This window comes from Homo sapiens, chromosome 10 (genome assembly GCF_000001405.40).
Source record: "Homo sapiens chromosome 10, GRCh38.p14 Primary Assembly".
NCBI lineage: Eukaryota > Metazoa > Chordata > Mammalia > Primates > Hominidae > Homo > Homo sapiens.
In genome coordinates this window covers 28,136,708-28,158,592 of record NC_000010.11, presented here as the reverse complement: position 1 = coordinate 28,158,592, position 21,885 = coordinate 28,136,708, and the positions used below count along the sequence as shown (strand labels likewise).

Here is a 21,885-nt window from a genome sequence, read left to right as displayed (position 1 = left end):
CCTTGATTAGAGAAACACGAAAGGAAAATCAGCTAGTCTGCTGCCTGCATAGGAGCTAGAGTTTGTCCTCTGTCGTCTTCTCTGTACCCCTGTTCTCTATGAGGGATTGTCTCAGAGACTTACCTCCATTATTCTACTCTTCACTAGGCTGTGGGCCCCCCTGCCGGCTGTCCCCTCTTTTCCTATTTCCGTAAGACAATTTCCACTCTGTAGTCCTATGTATGTATGTATATATGAAATTTATATTTCATATATAAATTTCACACACACACATTCTGGGAAGTGGCAGATAGAAGATAGTTGATGGTTACATTTCACCCATCTCTTTGAGTCTAGAGAAGTGTATGTTTCAGCTGTTTGGAGTTTTTCTTAGAACATGAGACTTAACACTTCTTTTTCCTCAGCTTTGGGGACTAGTCATCAGTTTTGGGGCAAGAAGAAAATCATTGCATTTATCATCCTCTTCCACGGTGATCCCAGGGTGTTACCAACTGTGCAGGATTAGAGGATTTATATGTCCACTTATCACTAACTAATAATAACGTTTTAACATCTATTTTATGTGAGGCATTGGGTTATGAGCAAGGGATCTGGTGGTGAACTCTAGGGACATTGTCCCTGATCTATGAATTTCCTTACCGATGGGGGTGTAAACAGATAAATATGATAAATCTATAAATACAAAGTCTGATAAGGATAGTGAACAAAAAGAATAGGAAGCCATCAGACCTAATAATGAAGGAGAACTGGTTTTGATTGGGTAAGACTGTTGGGAAAAGCTGTGTGTAAGTGACATTTTAGCTAAGACTCAGAGATGAATGTGGGTACCCCCAAGACTCAGGAACATTGCAGGCAGAGAGGATGCCTTGAGGTAGGAGAGACTCTGGGTGCTTGAGGGTCTAACATAAGGTCCCTGTGGGTGGAACCTGATGGAGAATGGCTTGAGATGGAAGTCTGCAGGGTCCAGGGCATGCAGAGCCCCAGAACAGGCTTGAGTTTCAAGTGCATTGGCAGGCATGCCCTTCATCTCAAGAGCAATGGCAAGCCACCAAAGGGCTTAAATAAGGAAGTGACAACCAGTTTATGGTTGCTGGGTATTTCCATTGTGAATAAAGTCTGATTCCTGTCTAATAGTCATTTTCCATACAGTCACATTGGAATACACTCCACATTCCCTAACCAGATCCTAGCTCATCTCAAAATTATGTGAGCTTCCTTATTAATTTCAACAGAATTTGGGCTTGTGGGCAGAGGGTCTTTGGATTCCCAAATGATAGACAGATGAGAGCTGACAACAGTGATAGCTAGCCCTGTATCGTCTTTGAAGTGACTCTGACGGTTACTCTTTTTCTTTTCCTTTTCCTTTTCTTTCCTTTCCTTTCTGAGACCAAGTCTCGCCCTGCTGCCCAGGCTGAAGTGCAATGGCATGATCTCGGCTCACTGCAACCTCTGCCTCTCGGGTTCAAGCGATTCTCCTGTCTCAGCCTCCCGAGTAGCTGGGATTACAGGCACGCTGCACCACACCTGGCTAATTTTAGTATTTTTGGTAGAGACAGGGTTTCACCATGTTGACCAGGCTGGTCTCGAACTCCTGACCTCAGGTGATCCTCTTGCCTCGGCCTCCCAAAGTGCTGGGATTACAGGTGTGAGCCACCACACCTGGCCGATTACTCTTTTTCTAAGAATCTTTCCACCTCACTGTTACACTTTTTCTTGTGTGAGGGTTTCATTCTGTCTTCTCACCAAAGATAGAACTTTCTTCTTTGGGAACAGGGCAGCTAGAGCTGTGGGTGCGTCCAGACAGATTCTTTTTGAACCTGTTAATAAACATGTAGATCTAGGTTTTTCATCACACCCCTCATTCCTCCAGGAAACCTCCTTATGATACTCTCAGCTTGGTCTTGCACCCTTTCCATCATTTGCCACTTGCAGTGATCACAGTTAGTGTCTGCCTTTCCTGTGTCCGTATCTGGTGGTCACAGTTACTGTCTGCCTTTCCTGTGTCCATCCAGGCTTCCATTAGCCCTTTGTTCAGGTCCTCTTCTCTTTTTACTTGGACTGTTTTTGAAGAAATGTCAATAGAGATGGCATTTGGTTGCGTGACCTCAGAAATTCTCTTCTTGAATATAGGTGATACCGATTAATCTTTGATGTTGATCTTTAGGTCTTGATTGTATCATATGTATACACGACATGGTGTAGTCAAAGGGAGACGAGAATCTCCTCTTACTAGGAACACCAGTGGAAGCGAGCAGGGGAATTGGAAATAAATACTGTTTATTAGGTGTTTTCTATTTTCCAGAACTTGCGTGAAACTCTTTTAATGGTGACTTTCATTCTCACAGTAACCCTAGTTAATAGATACGATTATTATCCTGTTTTAAATATGAGAAAACTAAGGCATAGAAAGTTAAATAAGTTGCTTAAGCATAAGTAAGGGGCGGAATTGGGATTTAAACTCATGTATTTGACTTCAAGACTCTCAGTAAATTATGTTGATACTTCATCTTTTAAAACTGTGAAAATACTATAAATTCTTCATTTTTTTTAGTGCTTTTCCTTTTCTCTATGGAGATAACAGTTAAATCTCTAACGTACAATGGGCCTATATGTTTATCTTGGAGGCAGCAAGGAAAACAATAGCTGGAAGAGTACATCTGATTTCACAACAGATTTGGGGATAGAGGCAGTGTGGTGGCTGCTGAGAGGAGATGGAACTGCTTAAGTCCATTGTGTTTGCAAAGAAAGGGAAACCTGAGGAACCCCAAAGTCATCTGCACTGAGCAGTGACCAGTTTGTTTGTTTTGTTTTGTTTTTTTTTTTTAAGTTTCTGACCACTAGCACAATATCCTCCTAACAGGTTTTCTGTTCCTCGTCTTACCTGCTACCTCCCTTCCTCCCCAAATCTGTCCAAGGAAAATGGAGTGAAGCACAAATTGGCCCAAGGGTCTCCTATTCTTTAATGCCTTTTTCTTTTTCTTTCTTTTTTTTTTTGGAGACAGGGTCTGGCTCTGTTGCCCAGGCTGGAGTGTGGTGGCACAATCTGAGCTCACTGCAACCTCCACTTCCTGGGCTCAATCAATCAATCAGTCTGCCCACTTCAGCCTCCCGAGTAGCTGGGACTACAGGTGTACACTACCATGCCTGGCCAATTTCTGTATTTTTTGTAGAGTTGGGGTTTCACCATGTTACCCAGGCTGGTGTTGAACTCCTGGGCTCAAGCAATCTGCCTGCCTTGGCCTCCCAAAGTGCTGGGCTTACCGGTGTGAGCCACCGCACTTGGCCTTTAATGGCTATTTATTTATTTACTGAATAAAGTCTTAAGTCCTTTAGCATAAATCACCCATCTGTATTTGGGTATTTTCCTAGAAAATGCATGCAAACAAATTGTATATAGTTTTCAGGAGTTCATGAATCAACTGAGTCACACATGAACTCTCCTAGCCATAGATCCCAGACTCGCCACGTTTTAAGACGGTTCATTCCATCTTTTGTTACAAAACTAGTTTTAAGCTGTAATTACAGTTTTAATGTTTGTTAAAATGTAAACTGCAAACAAGTATACAAGGTAATTGATTGCTACTTGTATGTTGAAACCTGTCTGAGTTCCATGACATCATCTGCAGTAACAGCTATCTGATCAAAAATTTAACAGTTCCCACTTCATCAACAATTACTGGAAAAAAAAAACAATTACTGAAATACAGATTTTTGAAGAATGGCAGCTCTCATAATTGTAATATGTGGGGAGTGAAAAATAAATGTATGTAGAAATTTGGGGTTGTTTCAAAATGGGACAGATTATATATCTCTGGATTGGAGAATTCAAGTTTCCCCACCACCCCCCACCCCAACTAACTCAGATTTTCCAAAGAAATGTTTAATGCCCTGGCTACTTTCTCTAGAACATTATTCTGGGAACTAAAGGAATTTGATCTGTAGAAAATGTTCTGAGAAGTGGTTTCAAATAGTATCACTACATTTTCAACCAAAATGAAAATGTTGATGGTTTGTTGCTTTTTAATCATTTAATTTAAGCCTAAAAACGGTTTTTGGTGCTTTGTATTTTGTAGACTTTATAGACATGTTCCTTATAAGAATTATGCATCTGTGTAGAGATGTTGCAAACACCCTGGCTGGAATTGAAGGCAAAGTACCAGTTGCTCCCAGCGATTCCTATGGGAAGGCTTTATTTCTTTACATTTTTACTTCTGACTGTGTAGCTTGAGCAAAGGTACAGCCTCCAAGTTTTTAGGCTTTATGATATACACACACAGAATAGCTACTTTTCTAGGGCTACTTTGTTAGTGAGTGGGAAGATGAGAAAACTTTAAACTACTAGGGAGATGACAAAGAAGCTGGTCTGGCTCTTCCTGGGATTAGGTAGGAACAAAAGAAAGTCTGCTTTAAGAGTTTGTAACCATCCATGGACTTGTTGGTCCATGGCTTAGGATTTGAGAGTTTTATCCACCAAGTCCTACATTGTAAAGTTAGCAAAGTGGCCAGTGATATTTCAAGGTCATGCATCAGAAATAAATACATGTTTCTGAAAGGATCGTGTCCCATGGATTTTCTTTTTTTAGTACCCAGAATCTTCTCCCCACCCCCAGTATTTAAAATATGGAGGTAGATAGGTGTATGCATGCATGTGCTAATTCTAGATCTGGTACCATTAATTAACATGCTGAAGAGTCAAACTACTGGGCAGTAATTTTCAGTACTTTTTTGTACTCATAATAGAAGCCAATAAAAGGATTACAGCTTTAGTTTACTTAATGTAATGTAATGCAGATGACCATGGTGGAGTCTGTACATCATTGACAGGTATAAAACACATGACTGCATTGGGGGGTACTTTATTCATAGTTTAATTATTGAAGCTTTATTTTTAAAAGTTCTATTGTATGTGTAAGTAAAACAGATTTCCTCACTAAAATTAAACATTTATTTTTAGGAAGTATGTAAATGAAGGTAACTATGGCTTCCTTATGAGAACTGCTTACATATTAAAATTATTTTTATTTTTACTGATGTTTTCTGATTACAAATGTAATTATAGGAAAAAAACCCTTATGGACATATACATAGAGCATAATGTATATAGATTTTGAAATGTCCTTTTTTCTTAATAGTGCATTTAATATATTTTAGCGTGTCCTGACTTTTAGGATCTTGTTTTTGAATAACTGTTATATAAAATTAATTTAACCAGATTTCCCCTTTTCTCCAGACTTCTTTACTCCTAACTCCTTTCCTCCCTCATCTCCTTCTCTGCTTCCTCCTCTTCCAGTTGCTCAGGGGAGAAAAATGAAGTATACTTTTTTTTTGTTTTCTTTTTTGAGATGGAGTCTCGCTCTGTAGCCCAGGCTGGAGTGCAGTGGTGAGATCTCGGCTCACTGCAACCTCCGCCTTCCGGGTTCAAGCCATTCTTCTGCCTCAGCCTCCCGAGTAGCTAGGACTATAGGTATGCGCCATCATGGCCGGGTGATTTTCATATTTTTAGTAGAGATGAGGTTTCACCATGTTGGCCAGGCTGGTCTTGTACTCCTGACCTCAAGTGATCTGCCCACCTTGGCCTCCTAAAGTGCTGGGATTATAGGCATGAGCCACCACACTCGGTCTGAAGTGTACTTTTATTATGTCTTGAATCTGCAAAGGGAAATGTGTAGTTAAAATAAATGAGGTTTTGCAGGTTTGGCTACACCTGATACTTAATAATTGATGCTAGATTGCTCATTGATGATGAAGCCACATCTTTGGTTATATATTTGTCTACTAGATCCCCAAATGTTCCCACTTAGGGAAATTTGTCACCCTGTATCAGAGTAAATTTTTCTGGGATATAAAGAGAAATTATAGACTGCATAAAGTTATGTCATGTTCTCCAAGAAGAAGGCTACTGGCTCCATGTGGGTATTTAAATGTAAAGTAAATAAAATTAAATAAAATGAAGAATTCAGTTCCTCAAGTCAAGCCACAGCTCAAGTGCTCAAAAGCCACACGTGGCCAGTGGCTAACCATATTGGGCAAACGGCTATAAAACATTTTCACCATCACAGGCAGTTCTGTTGGATAGCCTTGGGGTGAAGTCTATATGTGTTGCCTGTTTATTAGAATTGAAAAATCATTTTTTTCTTTTGGTTATCATAAATAGTAATAAAAAGCAGAATTTCTGTCAATATTTTTGGAAACAGTGAACAGCTCAAAATTATTTAGAGTAAATTTTTACTCCCCTACCAACTTAATTTTTAAAATGATGCGGTAAAGTAAAACACATACGCAACACAGGGTTACCAGAACTTTGAAATTCTAGAACATTTAAAAAATGTTTGATATGGCACAAAATCCAGGAGTGGGCAGGCTAGGGGTGGGATACTCTATCAATTGGGTCAGGATCTGGAGAAGATGATGGAAGAGAAACTGACTATTTGTGAAAGACGCTCAGAAGAAGCAAATGAAGTGGAGAAATAATGTGTTTATTTGAGGCACATAATTTTATGTTATAATTAGAGTATTCATAGAAATTAACCTGGGAAAATTGGAAGCCATCAGAAAGAAAACACAAGGGATGAAGAGGAACCACCAATGAGAAAGAAAATATAAGGGATGGAGAGGAACCACTGATGATCCTCTAGTCAGTGGAAGCAGTCACTGCGATTTGTTATATATCTTTCCAGCCTTCCTTTCTATGCCCTACAAACTGGCCATATTCATTAGGCAGCCAAGGATCGCAGTGAAGAACACAGATGAGATGTCAGTCTGAGAGGAAAAGTGGGTGATTAGGAGCTCCAGCACTGAGCCAGATGGCTTGAGCTTGAAATCTCAGCTCTGCCTCTTACTGTCTGCAAGAACATAGCAACTTGTTTAACTCCTATTTATCTGTAAAATGAGATGGTCCCGCTGTCTACCTCTTTATTTTCTTGTGAGAATTGAGGAATTCAAATTTTAAACTCATTAAAGACTATGTTACTAGTATTACTGACCTATTAGGTGGGTAGTACAGGCACCTGGTAAGTTCTTAATAAGTCTCTATGTTTATTATAGCAGGGAAGCAGACATTTAAACAAGTAACTGCAGTCAGGTTAGATGAGTTTTGTGATAGGGTAAGTTAAGTATTCTGTGATACTATATGTTGAGATGTCTTAATTCTCGATAATTATTTAAACAAAGTGAATTTAGCTCAGTATGATTGGTTTTTGTTTTAAATTAAATGTTCATAGTTTCTCAAATCAAATCTAACTCTTTTTATAGCTTACAGTCTTTAAAGTTTATTACCTTGTTATGATACATCTTTAAAATTTCCAAGATGTTAAGTAAAAATGTGGCTCTGATCATTCTGGTAATATCATAAGTGTCAAAATTCTTTCCCTGAAGCTTTACATTGTGTACTGGGTTGCCAAAAAGGTAATAGAATCCTCTCTTAGCAATAGCATCTGGCTAATCAGAATAAAATTTATCTTCCAGACTTTTACAATGGAGTTTGGTTAGCTTTGAGTATAATTAAAGAGTGTATTACTTGATACCTGTTAAAGACAGGAAATTGTGAGGTGCAACTGTTTTTTGTATATGGTGGGGGACATTTTTCTTCAACTATAAATAAAAAGAGACTAAAGTGAGTTTTCAAGTATAAAATATGAAAGGACACCTACACAAGAGCTGAAATAGATGAAACTTAAGTGCTGACAGTTATGTGTTTGTCAACACGTCTTTTGTTTCTCAACTTTCTGCTAGATTTTTCAAGGAACTCAGTGTGTCTTACATGGGATTTATGTAGATTCTTGCCTTTGTGTTTCTTGGGTCACAATAATGGGAAATGAAGGGCTAAATTTTTTAAAATTTATTATTATAATTATTTTACAATATGAAAAATGATCTCATTTATGCTAAATAATTATAAGAAATGCCACTAGTTATGAAAAATCCCTTCGTTTCTTAGAAATTTGAAGTTGAGGGGGAAAGTTGGCAATTTCAAAAAAAAAGAATGAATAAGTATAATAAAAGGAACAGTGTGCTTGAGCAGATGTTCCTGGATGTGGCACCCAGGCACAAATAGTGCCAGCTCCTTCCCTCTTGACAGTGATTCCATACCAACCTGCCAAAATGTGGCTGACAGTTTATTGCTTTGCTTTAATCATAATTTACATTTTTAGCAGGAATATAAGCTGCAACTGATACTTGAAATATTGCAGCAATAGATTTTAGATATAATAGACATCACAAAACTTAACATGCTTATTGAGGGGAAAGACAAAGACTTAGTTTTCAAGTGGGTTCTGTTTGATTAAGACTGTTTTTTCCATTTGACTCCATGTTGTAAACACTGGGCCATAGTAATAGATGAATTAGGCACACATACGTGTCACCTATGGGTTTATATTAGCATGTACAAACATATTACATGTGTGTAATATGTCATAAACATATAACTTTAGGATATTCAAGGATTCAGATTCTCTTTTCAAGTATAAAAATGTGCAGCTATCTGAGATTGTTTGCTAGCAGGTGAACTTATATGCATTTGATTTTCTTCCAGATTCATGAAAAACTACACTACTATGAGAAGCAGAGTCCGGTGCCCATTCTCCATGGTGCGGCGGCCTTGGCCGATGATGTAAGTGTGACTCTCCGAGCTCACTGGGATGTGTCTGCTGCAGACCTGGCCCAGGCAGAACCTGTCCTAGTGCAGACAGATGCGTGTGATCCTATGAGTGAAAAGCAGAAGAGGTTACAAATGTTTCCAAAAGTCCTGTCATCACTGAGCTTATGTTAATATTATGTTGATTTCCATTCACTTTTCTGTTCTAAAAATTTTGCATGTAGCTACTCTCTTGTTCTGCTTTCGTAACTTCGTAATAGACATTTTAGGCTTTAAACTCTGGAGAGAGAGAAGCTGTCAGCTGTTGGTGTTCTGAGAAAGTCACAGACAAGAGGAATGCTTTGGAGAAATAAAGACAAATGAGATAGCTCTATTGCTGACAGTACTAAAAAATGACAGATACTAGGATACGAACGAGGCATATGAAATAATATGAAATACATAAAAAGACAGGATTGTTTTTATAATGGATTATAAAACATAGTAATGATTTATGGATATTAGACTTTTCCAAATTACCTTCATAACCAAAAAATAAATTTTAGAAGCAGTTGGCATTGATGGAGTAGTTAATTTCCTGTAGCTATAATTTTATTTTGAACTTGGGGGAAGGTAACTAACTTGCTGATTCTTACTGTTAACTTTCGGACTCGGATGAATTGAGAACACACCTGGATAAACTATAAAGGACATGAAGCTGGAAGAGAAATATGTTTAGTGCGAAGGCTGGTTTTAGTGATAACCCGTAGCTTATTTGTTGCTTTTAATATTTCTTTCCTTTATTTTTTAAGACAAGCTATATAATTCAGTGTGGTAAAATATCCAGGCCATAATATAATTAAAAAATTGGCCATCTTGAGAAGTTGATTTTATTTGAACTACTTTGCATTCTAATTTAGAAAAAACACATATGTAATAAATTTGCAAGTTGCGTGCTATTTGTTTAGTTCCCATTTTTCTTTTTGTTTTTATCTACAAAGATTACAAGTATGTTTCAGTATATATTTAATGAGGAAGCTTACTTCTGCATTATTGAAGCAAAATTTTTTAAATGAAGGCAAATAAAGTTGTAGATACAGTTGCTCAAGTAAGGCACGAAAGCCTTAAAAAATCAGTTTTAAAACATTTACTATTCAGAGTTTTGGGAAACATTTGTTTATAAACCAATGTTGTTGTGGCCCAATCATATTGCAAAAATATTCCTTTATAAAAAGTTAGAGACTGCTATATAAATATGATAAACCATAGTATCTTATAATTTGTCAGAGCAGTATATTTAAATGTTAAAATATATTATGTTTTAAGTGACTAAAGTGTGCAAATGACCTTTATGTCTTTTTGTAAGTTAAAAATGCTGTAGAAATATTACCTCAAAAAAGTAAAGCAGTGTTTGAAAGGTAATTAATGACTGTATAATTTTCTATGATTTTATTTTTTGTGTACAATTTATATTATGCCCTTCTTTTAGAGAAAATTCCTTTTCCAGAGATAAGAGCAATTATTTTTAGCTTGTTAGAAAAAGTAGGGGCAAATGGAAATTTCATGCAAGGTTTTAAGACGGGTTTTTAAATAAAAATGCATCTATACATATGCCACGTATTTCATAATTCTAATCTTTTTTCCTGTTTGAGTCTTGCTTTTTTAAAGAAAATTATGAGATCTTTCCTATAGCCTAAAATTGAATGGGAATTTTGATAGGAATATCTCTTAATGGAAGATATGGGGCAGGTTTGAAGTTGTAACACCTTCTTTATGTAGAACCCAAAATGGGAATTCTTGGTTATTATAGTAGAGTACAGTCAGCATTTTTGGTACCAGGGTAGCTAGCTGTCAACCCATTATAGCTCATTTTACAATTGGTACTATGATTGGTTGGTATTTAACAGATTTCTTCATCTGTATAGGTAAACATAATAAAAGTTTCAGGCCATTTGCTCTATTAGGGGCATTCTAATTATTTTTACCCTAGCTCTAAACAGCACAGCTACTGTGGGTTTTTGGAATCCCCATGGGTTTTTGGAAACCCTGTGGATTTCACCACCTCATTCAGAAGCTCTGTTTTTGTGGGGGTTGGGGGAGGTTACAGTGTCAAAGCTTTATCCAGTTCTTCTTACAAGTGGTCCTTTGTCTAGGTGCAAAAGACCATTCACATGGACGAAGTGCTGGGGTTTGCCCTCCTTGCAATAAATCAGAAGGTGATCTGGCTGATACGATTACTTGATTTGTACTCAGCTGAGAGCCTGGGCTCGGATCTGGACTACCGAAGGTCTAAAAAGAAGAGCAATGATTGATGATCTGTTTTCTTTTATGCTGACCTCTCCTTAAACATTGGAAAGTAATAGCCTTGAGCAAGTTAGATTCTCAGTTGTCACACACCCAATCCCACAATGCTCTTACTAAATGTTCTTTAAGTCAATGTAATCTCCGTTGCAGCTGGCCGAAGAGCTTCAGAACAAGCCATTAAACAGTGAGATCAGAGAGCTGTTGAAACTACTGTCAAAACCCAATGTGAAGGTGAGGACATGTTACGCCGGTAATAAATACCTTCAAACAGGGCCACTTTCTGAGCCTTCAGATGAATTTTGTTTCGAGCATCAATTCTCAAGTAAATGTATTTTGAATAGGGCACAGTATTTTAATAGCCTAAATCCTATTAATGAGAAAGAGGCGAGCTTTTGATTATAATGTGATGAGAAACTGCAAAATACTCTTATTGGGAAGCTCAGAATTTAAGTTCTGTCAAATGTAGCTTCAAGGTCATTTTTGTTTTAAGTAAAGTTAAGAGTACACTATACAGAACCTACTAGTAATTTTGTTTAGGTCCATTTTACTTGGGTAGTTAATGGGATTCCAATATGTTTGACAAACATACCTATTTTTCTATAGGGTCATTTCAGCATTCCTCTTTCTTTCCCCTTTCACCTCCCCATTTCCTGTCCCTTTACTAATTTATGTTTCAAAATGTCATTCCATTTTACAGAGAAGAGCACTTTTCCAGTGTAAAATACCCATAAAATATTGGCAGACAGATTTCAATTCTCCCTTTCCATTGCCTCCTAAGTTTATCACTTATTTTTCCTCCAAATGTGATCAGTTTACAGCAGGCATTTCAGAATTTTCCTACATTATTCTGAAGTCATTACTGCACTAAATCCTGCACTGTATACATTTTGGACTTGACGCTGGGGCAATTATGTGTCAGATATTGTTCTGTGAGTCAGAATTACATATAGGTTACATAATTACATAATTAAAATGATCATTTAGCTTGTGATGATTACTGGTGAGCATATGTAGAGTGTTGAATGAAAATTTCTTCCTAGATGTAAAAACTAGTTTCTACTTTTTTTGAGAAATAGCTTTCAGAATTTAAAACTTGGTTTTAAATTTATTTTTATAAAAAGAGAGATGGTATTAAATAAAAGATGAGGTTAAAAACATGTGGCGGGCGCCTGTAGTCCCAGCTACTCGGGAGGCTGAGGCAGGAGAATGGCATGAACCTGGGAGGCGGAGCTTGCAGTGAGCTGAGATCGTGCCACTGCACTCCAGCCTGGGCGACAGAGCGAGACTCCGTCTCAAAAAAAAAAAAAACAAAAAAACAAAAAAAAAACATGCGTGGACTATAAACCCTAATCCCTATAAGTAAATGTAAGTACATGAATGTATTGCTGTAAAAGCTAAACAGGCTATGATTAATGATGTGAGGGTAATTGATTTGTAGTGGTTTAGGAAGTTTATTAAATTTTTGTTCTGAAAGAACAAGGATCAGATTAGAGCAGAAAAGTTCCTTGATGTTAAATACAAAGTGTGTAAAAACGTTAAGGAGATTTTTAGCCACAGAACGTTCTGAAGATTTCTTCATTTGGTCTTAGACTGCACCTGAGAAGTTAGTATCACCCAGGGGAGGGTGAGGTTAGCTATGAATATCTTGTTAAACTCCTTTTTGAAATTATTGTTTTGGTTCAAGGGTATTAGAAATGAAAGCAGCATGTTTCAGACAAAAAAAATCCCCGATTATGGTATTTGGTTCAAGAGTGTTTCAAATGGAATAGCTAATTATGCAATATTATACTGGATGAGAACTGGTATTTGGCTCAAGAGGGAGGTATGACTTTAGACGTTATTAAGAAGGGCCATTTGATAAAATTTTATAATAATTAGTTAAATTTTATTATGTGGAAAATATTTTAGGTGGATAATTTGGTTATTTTTCATTTTATCTAGCAGTGTGACTAAAGAATTGTGTAAAGTTAGCATGAAAGACGTATATTCATATGTGTAGAAAATAGGTAATATTCCAGGATACATGATGTTTTGTTTGGCAATGTCAGTTTGTAGTTAGCTAGTCTTGGGAATAAAGTATCTTTTTTCCTTTTTTGATCTAACATTTAACATTGCTTTTCTTGAAGTCATTCTTATTATCTACCATTGCTTTGACCTCATTTCCATATTACTTTAACAAGTTAAGCCCCCAAATAAATTTTAGACTATTTCAGGATATAATCAGTTAATCTATTTTTGTCCTGGGAGTAAACTAAAATCTTTTTGTGATTGTTTTCCTTTTAAACAGAAGCAAGGTATGTAGGTTGTTAGTTGAATTGACAGTTAAAATATGAAAAATGTAACTCTAGTGTGTTAATTTGAATATTTAATTTCTAGTGGATTAGGGAAGTTACTTACTTTTTAAAGATTTCCTATTTCATTTTAAATACTTAATTCATTGGACTGAAAAGGAAGTTGAAATATATCTTCAAAGTAATAGAACTTTAAAAAGACACAGATACGGCCAGGCACGGTGGCTCAAGCCTGTAATCCCAGCACTTTGGGAGGCCGTGACGGGCGGATCACGAGGTCAGAAGTTCGAGACCAGCCTGGCCAACTTAGTGAAACCCCGTCTCTACTAAAAATACAAAAAATTAGCCAGGTGTGGTGGTGTGTGCCTGTAATCCCAGCTACTCGGGAGGCTGAGGCAGGAGAATTGTGTGAACCCAGGAGGTGTGCCAATTCTTTCTGAAAATTTTTATAACTTTCTTTGGCAGTTTATAAATGTCACCAGCAACGGATCTTCATTCATTCATTTATTCTTAGATTTTTTTTCTTCTAATGCCTAGTGTGTGCCAGGCCCTATGGATGCAGATTATAGAGGATATACGTACACTAGTGAAGGTGATAGGAGAAATACTGATTTAAAAGAGGGAGCGTATGGAAATGATATGGGATACATAGGAATGGCGCTAAACCCAAACTTGGGCAGGGGGAGAATATTGAAGAAAACTTTACAGAGGAAGTGGCATATAAGTTGAGACCTTACGTTGCAGTTTGAGGGAATCAGCAAGGGGACAAAGGAGTGGGAGATGGGTTGGGGGTGGGATGTGAAAAAGAAATGATTTAGGTACAGGGAAGAGCATGTGAAGTCCCATAAAGGAAAACTTTAAGTTTGAAGATGTAAAAATGCAAAAGCAGCCTCAGAACGGGCGAACAGTGGCTTGCGAAGGAAGAAGGGGTGAGAGTTTGGAGCTGGGGAGTCGACCTTTTGAGTAGGGTTTGCCCAGGATAGTCGGCTTCATGCCTGCAGTTCCAGCATTATTAGTAATAGCCTTTCTCCCACTTTCATTTGTTTCCCTATTTGGGTGATAAATTATATGGCCACACCTGAAATCGTGAGCTTATAAAAAAGTGGAAAGCCATTGAAAGGATCTGAAGCAGGAAGTGACATGTCACTCCCTATGTAGTCTACAGACCAAGCTTTTGAGGCATTGGGTGGTGTAGAATGGGAGAAATGCAATACTGAATGGAGGAAGGCCAGTGGGAGCCTATAGGAATAATTCACATAGAGCACTAGCACTTTGGGAGGCCGAGGTGGGCTGATCACCGGAGGTCAGGAGTTCGAGACCAGCCTGGCCAACATGGTGAAACCCCATCTCTACTAAAGATACAAAAATCCCGGGTATGGTGGCGGTGGCAGGTGCCTGTAATCCCAGCTACCTGGGAGGCTGAGGCAGGAGAATCACTTGAACCTGGGAGATGGAGGTTTCAGTGAGCTAAGATCACGCCGCTTCACTCTAGCCTGGGTGAAAGAGTGAAACTCAGTCTCACACACACACACACACACACACACACACACACACACACACACACACAGCACACGATTGAGGTCCTAATGAAAGAGTGTGGGATGGGTGGAAGGAAGCACGGGGGATGGGCAGCTTGAGGGACAATTGTAATACGTGGTCTTGGAATAACAAATAGTTTGGGAAAAAATGAGAAAAGTCACCACTAGAGTGAACTTCAAATAGATTAAAAATTTAAGTGTAAAAAGTTGAACCATAAGAATATTTTTAATTGAAAAAATATGTATTAGAAGAAAATTTGTAAGTTATGTTATCATGGAATAGAAAAGCATTTGATCCACAAAGATAGGAATACACACATACAGACACAAACATGCACCCATAAAGGAAAGAATATTTTAAAATCCATAAGTGAGATTAGAAGGAACATTTATTAATATACATGATTTATGATATCTGTCCTTAATAAGATGTGATAATTTATTATGTTCACTTTTACTTTTTGCAGAGTGACTTGATAAAGACTTAAAAGGAAACAGAAATATTCTTTTTTGATAATACGTAATTGTATTTTTCATTCAAATTATAAAGAAAGTAGAAGCCCCTATCGTCATTGCTTTATTAGTGCGGATGCATATCTTTTCCTATGCTTATATGTTTTTATTTCTTCTGTGAATTGCATGTTCATATACCTCTAGGGATAACTGCTCTTGGCTGGCTGCATTACCTTTCAACCCTTTCTGTATATATAAATATTAAATGTTTTTTCCCAGTATATTCTGTGGGATCATAGAATGCACTACTTAATGTGATTTTTTTTTCTTTTAATATTTTTGGCATTTTGTAGCCTTCTCTTTGTGTCAACAAAATTACCTATTTTAACTTACAGACGAACCTTTGTTATTTCTGCTTTTCTGCTATTTAAATAACACTATGATGCACATCTTTTGTATATTAGAGGATTTTATGGAATATTTTGTCAAAATATACTTTAATTAGGACAGTAAATTATTGGGGCATACATAATGTTTGTACATTTTACAGTTTTGATCATTGTTTCCAGCTTGTTGTTAAGACAGACCTTCTCGAGCACCTGCAGTATAGTGCATGAGAAGGCCTGTTTCCCTATGCTGTTGCAATTTATATGCAATTAATTGCATAAGCTCTTTTCGACTAATATTCTTTCTCTTTTTTTGAGACAGAGTCTCGCTCTGTCACCCAGGTTGGCGTGCAGTGGCACAATCTCAGCTTACTGTAACCTCCACCTCCCAAGTTTAAGCGATTCTCCTGCCTCAGCCTCCTAACTAGCTGGGACTACAGGTGCACGCCACCACACCTGGCTAATTCTTGTGTTTTTTGACAATTCGGGGTTTTGACATGTTGGCCAGGCTGGTCTTGAACTCCTGGCCTCAAGTGATCCACTCACCTAGTCCTCCCAAAGTGCTAGGATTACAGAGGTGAGCCACCATGCACAGCCCCAACTAATATTCTTTTTTAGCTTTGCTAGTTGAGTACCACTAGAATATAAGCCACATGAGAATAGGGAATAAAAATTGCAGGTGTATAGCAGGCTTTCATTGAGTACTGTGTGATTAAATAATGATTAGTAAAAATTTTGTGTTTTTCCTAATGACTTGTGAGTGACATAAGAATATAAAATCATTATTATAGATTTCTCCTTAGTTATTTTTCTTTAATCTTACATGCATTTTCTAAGACTGGGTAGAAATATGTACTTTTATATAGTAGAATTTGGCATTCTTTTTCTTTATGACTTCTGGGCACTGAGTTAGCTTGGAAAGGACTTGTATTCTTCATGATGAGTTTACGAAAATTGTCTTTCCTATTTTCTTTTGGCTTTTTAAAAATGTGATTTTTTGAAGTTTGAAATTATCACTCTGTATGAAAATTTGGTGTATGGTATAAGATGTGGTTCTAGTTTTTTTTTATTCAAGTGGATGGTAATTTTCTCACAATTTGATTTATCTTTATTATATATCTGAATCTGTTTTGAACTCTTGGTTTGATTGCTGTTAATTTGGTTATCTTATTGTTTTAGTAATTGTAGCATGATACCTTCTAAGGCCAAATTCCTATCATTATTCTTGCAAATGTATTTTCCCAGAAGAAATTTGGAATTCTCTTTTATGTCATAAAAAAAAACCATTGGGATGCAATTAAATTTTCCAGAGACAGTGGCAATTTATTTATTTAGATCAAATTGTTCCTTATATAACCCTGGACTATTTCCTGCTAAGTCTATTCCCAGGCCTGATGTGTACGCGTGTGTGCCGGCATGCATATATTTATATGTATACACACATCTACACATATGTATAAATTAATTTTCCCCCATGGTATACTATTTACTGAGTATTTTCTAACAAGTATGTTGTTTCTATACAGTAAACATGTTAATTTCCATAATACTTATTTTATACCACCTTACCGAAGTATCTCATTTAATTTTCAATGTTATTGACAAGATTTTTTAAAAATCTTTTCCTGTTTAGTAATTATAGATAATTTCCCCCGTTACCTTATTGCCTTGATATGACTTGCAGGAAAAAATGCTCAAAACTTGTAGTAAAAACAGGATATGCTTTTGTTTTTCTGTACTTTTATGGGGATACTTCTGTGCTTCCTGTTATTAATAAGTATGATGTTTGTGGCTGGTTTCTGATAGAATATTTTACAAAGTTTTGTTGTCTCATTTAAAAAAAATAAATCAGAATTATGTTAAATTTTGTCAAGTGACTTTATGGTACTTATCAAAGTGATCATAGAAACTTTTTTAGTTGTTAGCATAAATAACTGCAGATATTTATGTGATAAAACATTAAATTCTTGGGATTAAAACTTCTTTTTGATAAAAGAAGATTTTTATGTCTAATTTTGTAATATTTTACTTTAGTATTTAAAAAAAATCATCCTGAGACCAAAGTTGTGCTGTCATCTTTTTATACTTTCTGGTTAGGTTTTACATTTGGGTTGTGAGACCTTTGAAAAAGAAATGTTACATTTTACTATGTGTTGGAATTCTGTAAATAACACAGAAAACTTTAATACAACCCTTCATTTGGTTCCAGTGCCATCTCTGGGGAAAGTTTTTTGATAGTGCTTTTAATTTCTTCTGTAGTTATTGATTTAATCCAGCTTTCAAGCTCTTCCAGAATTACTTCATTATTTATTTTTTCCTAGGAAACTTAACATTTTATTAAGATTTCAAGCATGTTGGAATGGTGTTCAATTTATCCTGTTGATTTGTATCCAAAGTTCTGTCCCATTTCTCAGTGCTATTAATATACATATTTTTCTCTAGTTTCTTGCTCTGCATACCAGAAATGAGTAATTATCTAATCTCTCAAAAGAACTGGCTCATTATTATCAATTCTATTTTTTTTTCTTTTTTTTTGAAACTAAGTCTCACTCTGTCGCCCAGGCTGACGTACAGTGGCGCGATCTCAGCTCCCTGCAACCTCAGCCTCTCGGGTTCAAGCAATTCTCCTGCCTCAGCCTCCCAAGTAGCTGGGATTACAGGCACATGCCACCCGCCTGGCTAATTTTTGTGTTTTTAGTAGAGATTGGGGTTTCACCATTTTGGCCAGGCTGGTGTCGAACTTCTGACGTCTGGTGATCCGCCTGCCCCAGCCTACCAAAGTGTTAGGATTATAGGCGGTAGCCATCGCATCTGGTCTGATTTTTTTCTTTATATCTATCTTTGATTAGATAGTGGGCTCCTTAGCTGTCACGCTTGTTTAATTACAAACACATTTAAGAGTATGCGGCTTTCTCTTAAATTTGGTCACCTTCCATGGACATTGTGTATGTCATATTGGCATTGATATTAACTTCTTGATTGTCTATAATACATTTTGATAACTTCAATATCCTGACTTATTTAAATTTGTGAGGTTGTTTGGGTTTCATTTTTTATATTTACAGATGTTAATTTCTAGTTTGACCCATTTTTATCACAATATACAACCTGTTAACCTTTTTAATATAAAATTTGTTTAAAATGTTTGCTTGCTAGTTTGGCCAACTTTTGCAAATATATGAAGGAAAAGAATAGCTATATGGAAAGGATTTTTAAAAAATTTATATATGGTCCTTTACAAGTTTATAGACAAGGTTAAATATACAATGTGACTGTTCCTGAAATAAGATAATCATTAAATTAATTGTAATAGCTAATAAGCCAACAATACGAAGTCTTTACTATGGAGCAGCCTTTTTGCCGTGCACTTTCATGTATTATCTCTTTAATCATTGTGAAGCCCTATTAAGTAGGTACTAATATTAACTCTTTTAAAGATTAAGAAAATTAAAGCTCAAAAACTTGTATCCAGAAACGAAACTGGACCTTTAACAGATGTTTGTGTGTGTGTGTTTGTGTGTATGTATGTGTGTTTCAGGGATTTTCTGTGTTCTGTACCTAATAAAGAACAAAAGTATATCTTTCTTATTTGTTGGAGGCCGAAAGTGTGAGGGTCATGATCAGCTCAGTATACCACTGGAGGTTATATGAGTAAACAGCAAACTTCTCATAAATGCAGGATGTGGGCAAGCTGACAACTATGTCCGCTGCCCAGAAGGAATGCTGAGGGCATTCATGCCCCAAGCTCAAGTGTTTCTGGTGATTAGGCATAATTGAAGCCTGTTAGCAATGATGTGAACCTGTGATCAGTTAAGCAGCTGACCAATCATTACCTCCTCCATGCTCTTTCTACCCAATAAATACAAAGGGTGGTAGGAGCTCAGGGGCTGCCTTTGCTCACTAGAAGCGGGGAGCTCTCTTCTTCCCCTGGCCCTTTCCTTAAAATAGTTTCTTTTGTTTTTTGTTATCATTTCTATGTTCGTCCCTTCATTCAGTCTCATAATGAGGGTCTCAGGCAGTAACAGTGGTAACTGCTGTAATGAGGGTCTCAGGCAGTAACAGTGGCAGTCTGCCACACTTCATGATACACAGGATGGTCTTCTTATCTTTGTTTCTAGCACATAGCACTGTGATTGCAACATTGGGATTCCCAGTAAACGGAATTCAATGTAAATTATTAAATGTTTGGTGGAATTTTTATTCCATTATAGCCTTCTTTGTCTCTACATATAAGATAATTCTGTACATTTATATGACATTCAAACTTTTCTTTCATAGTCTTTAATTCATAATAGTATAAGATTGTGATTTTGTTCATTTTACTCTTTAGGAATCTCTTGCTGTGTTCAGAAGAATGCCAACACTTTTCTTGTATAACCTGTTGCCCTCAAGTCTTTGATAGTTAGGAAATGACTTGTCATTCTGTAACAATAGTGTCACTGGAGAACTGTCAAAAATTGAAAGATTATACCCAGAATGAATTGATCAGTCAATTGCCATATTGAAAAATAGATTATTCTTATTAGTCAATAATGTCTACAAAATCCAGTTCAGGAAAATAAATGCAGTATAAAAGAAACAATAGATGTCTGAAAATGTAAAAGTAAGTAGCCAAAGGCCTAACTAGATTAATTGAATGTGAATACTTCCTGCAGTGATGAAATAGGCAAAATCAATAATGTTGGTGGCATTTAGGGGCATTGATGGAGGGATATTGTTCTATATAGAGACTTTGTTTCTAGGGGAAGCAGAGATAGTCATTAATAAATCAAAACCACTTCTAACCATCAAATTGCCACATTAAAGGCAAATTAAACTGTATGAGTCATCATTCCGGGGGCTCACTTTTGATAAAACAGTGAAGTGACATCATCTCTAGAATATGGCATTATAATTTAGGCAGTCATGGAAAATTTGGTAGATTTTTTAAAAGGCAATAAAATAAGAAGATTTGTTGTAATTTTTAGCTTCCAAACATTCACTTAAGAGAAATTACTCACTGCCTGAGCATGCAAGATGAATGAAGCTTCATTAAAGCAAGCTGAAGGAAAAAGTTAAGCTCCTTCTGGAGGGATAAATCAATGTTGCTCATCCTTATAAGCTAGACACTTAATTCTGTGAACCTGACAGATACTTAGAACATAAAGTTGACTCCAGGGGTTCCAGTGCAGTGAGTGCTTGTGAGTCTGATGAGTTACAAGGCCTAGTGTTCAATTTCCTGCAGATTCTTCTGAGCAACAGGTAAACCCATCAGTTGTGATTGGTGGCTCTGGCATATGGAAACACAATTTCCATTTAAGTATTGCCTTTTTAAAGGCAAGTCTGTATATTAAAGAATAAAATCACCTCAGTTAAAACAGGATAATGGAATGCAAAATTTTAGTTGTCCAAAATTAAAAATGTTGCTATCCAACAATATTTGTAAAACAAAGTTATTAAAAATTACAAACTTAATGCCTATGAAATTATTTTGGAATGCAGACATGGAACAAAGCTAAGTAGAAAAAATATTTAGCTGATGTTCTTAATATTGCCTGTCAATTATCATAATTGCTTCATTTAAAAACATTTTATTCAGCTATCTCTGTTTTACTATGTGCAAGATATGCCATAGATACACAGATAGTAGATATTCCCAGTGTTCTTTATTCCTCTGTATGGACCCACATTTCCATCTGCCAACATTTTCCTCCTGTCTGAAAGACTTCCTGTAACATTTCTTGCAATGCAAGTCTGCTGGCAGTGAATTCTTTCAGCTTGTGTATATTTTTCAAAACTTTTCAATACCCCTTCATTTCTAAAAGATATTTTTGCTGGGTATAGAATTCTAAGTTAACAGTATTTTTCTTTGAGTATTTTAAAGATGTTGCTCCATTGTTTTGTGGCCCACATTGTTTCTGATGAGAAGTGTGCTGTCGTTTTTAATCCTTATTGTTTTATATATAATGTGTTTTTTAAATCTTTTGGATGATTTCAATATTTTCTTCCTGGTTTTAAGCATTTTGGTGGTGTTTTATGTTTTCTTTGTGCTTGGGTACATTGAGCTTCTTGAACATGTGGGTTTATACTTTTTTCATCATATTTGGACTATTTTCTGCCATATTTCTTTAAATAGTTTCCAGCAACTGCCCCCTTTCTTTGGAGATGCCAGTTAACATGTATATTAGGCCATTTAAAGTAGTTGCCCAGATCACTAAGTCCTATTCAGTCCTATTCATAATTTCTCAGTATATTTTCTCCCTGTGTTTCATTGTGGACAGCTCATGTTGCTTATTCTACAGTATTACTTTTCCTTCTGCAGTATCTATATTAATCTCATTCAGTGTACTTTTTTCTTA

General features: G+C 36.4%; 1 protein-coding gene across 17 annotated transcripts in view; it reads left to right on the top strand.

The window, feature by feature from the left end:
* Positions 1–21,885, top strand: part of MPP7 (MAGUK p55 scaffold protein 7) — a 284,211-nt gene that overhangs the window by 176,611 nt on the left and 85,715 nt on the right. For all 17 annotated transcript variants that reach the window (NR_134518.2, NR_134517.2, XR_007061944.1 and 14 more), the window contains 2 exons: positions 8,534–8,611; positions 11,030–11,110. Coding sequence is in view for 12 of the 17 variants with exons in the window: in XM_047424647.1 (XP_047280603.1) it covers positions 8,534–8,611; positions 11,030–11,110 (159 nt within the window). In the remaining 5 variants the exon portion in view is untranslated. The remainder of the gene's footprint in view (positions 1–8,533; positions 8,612–11,029; positions 11,111–21,885) is intronic.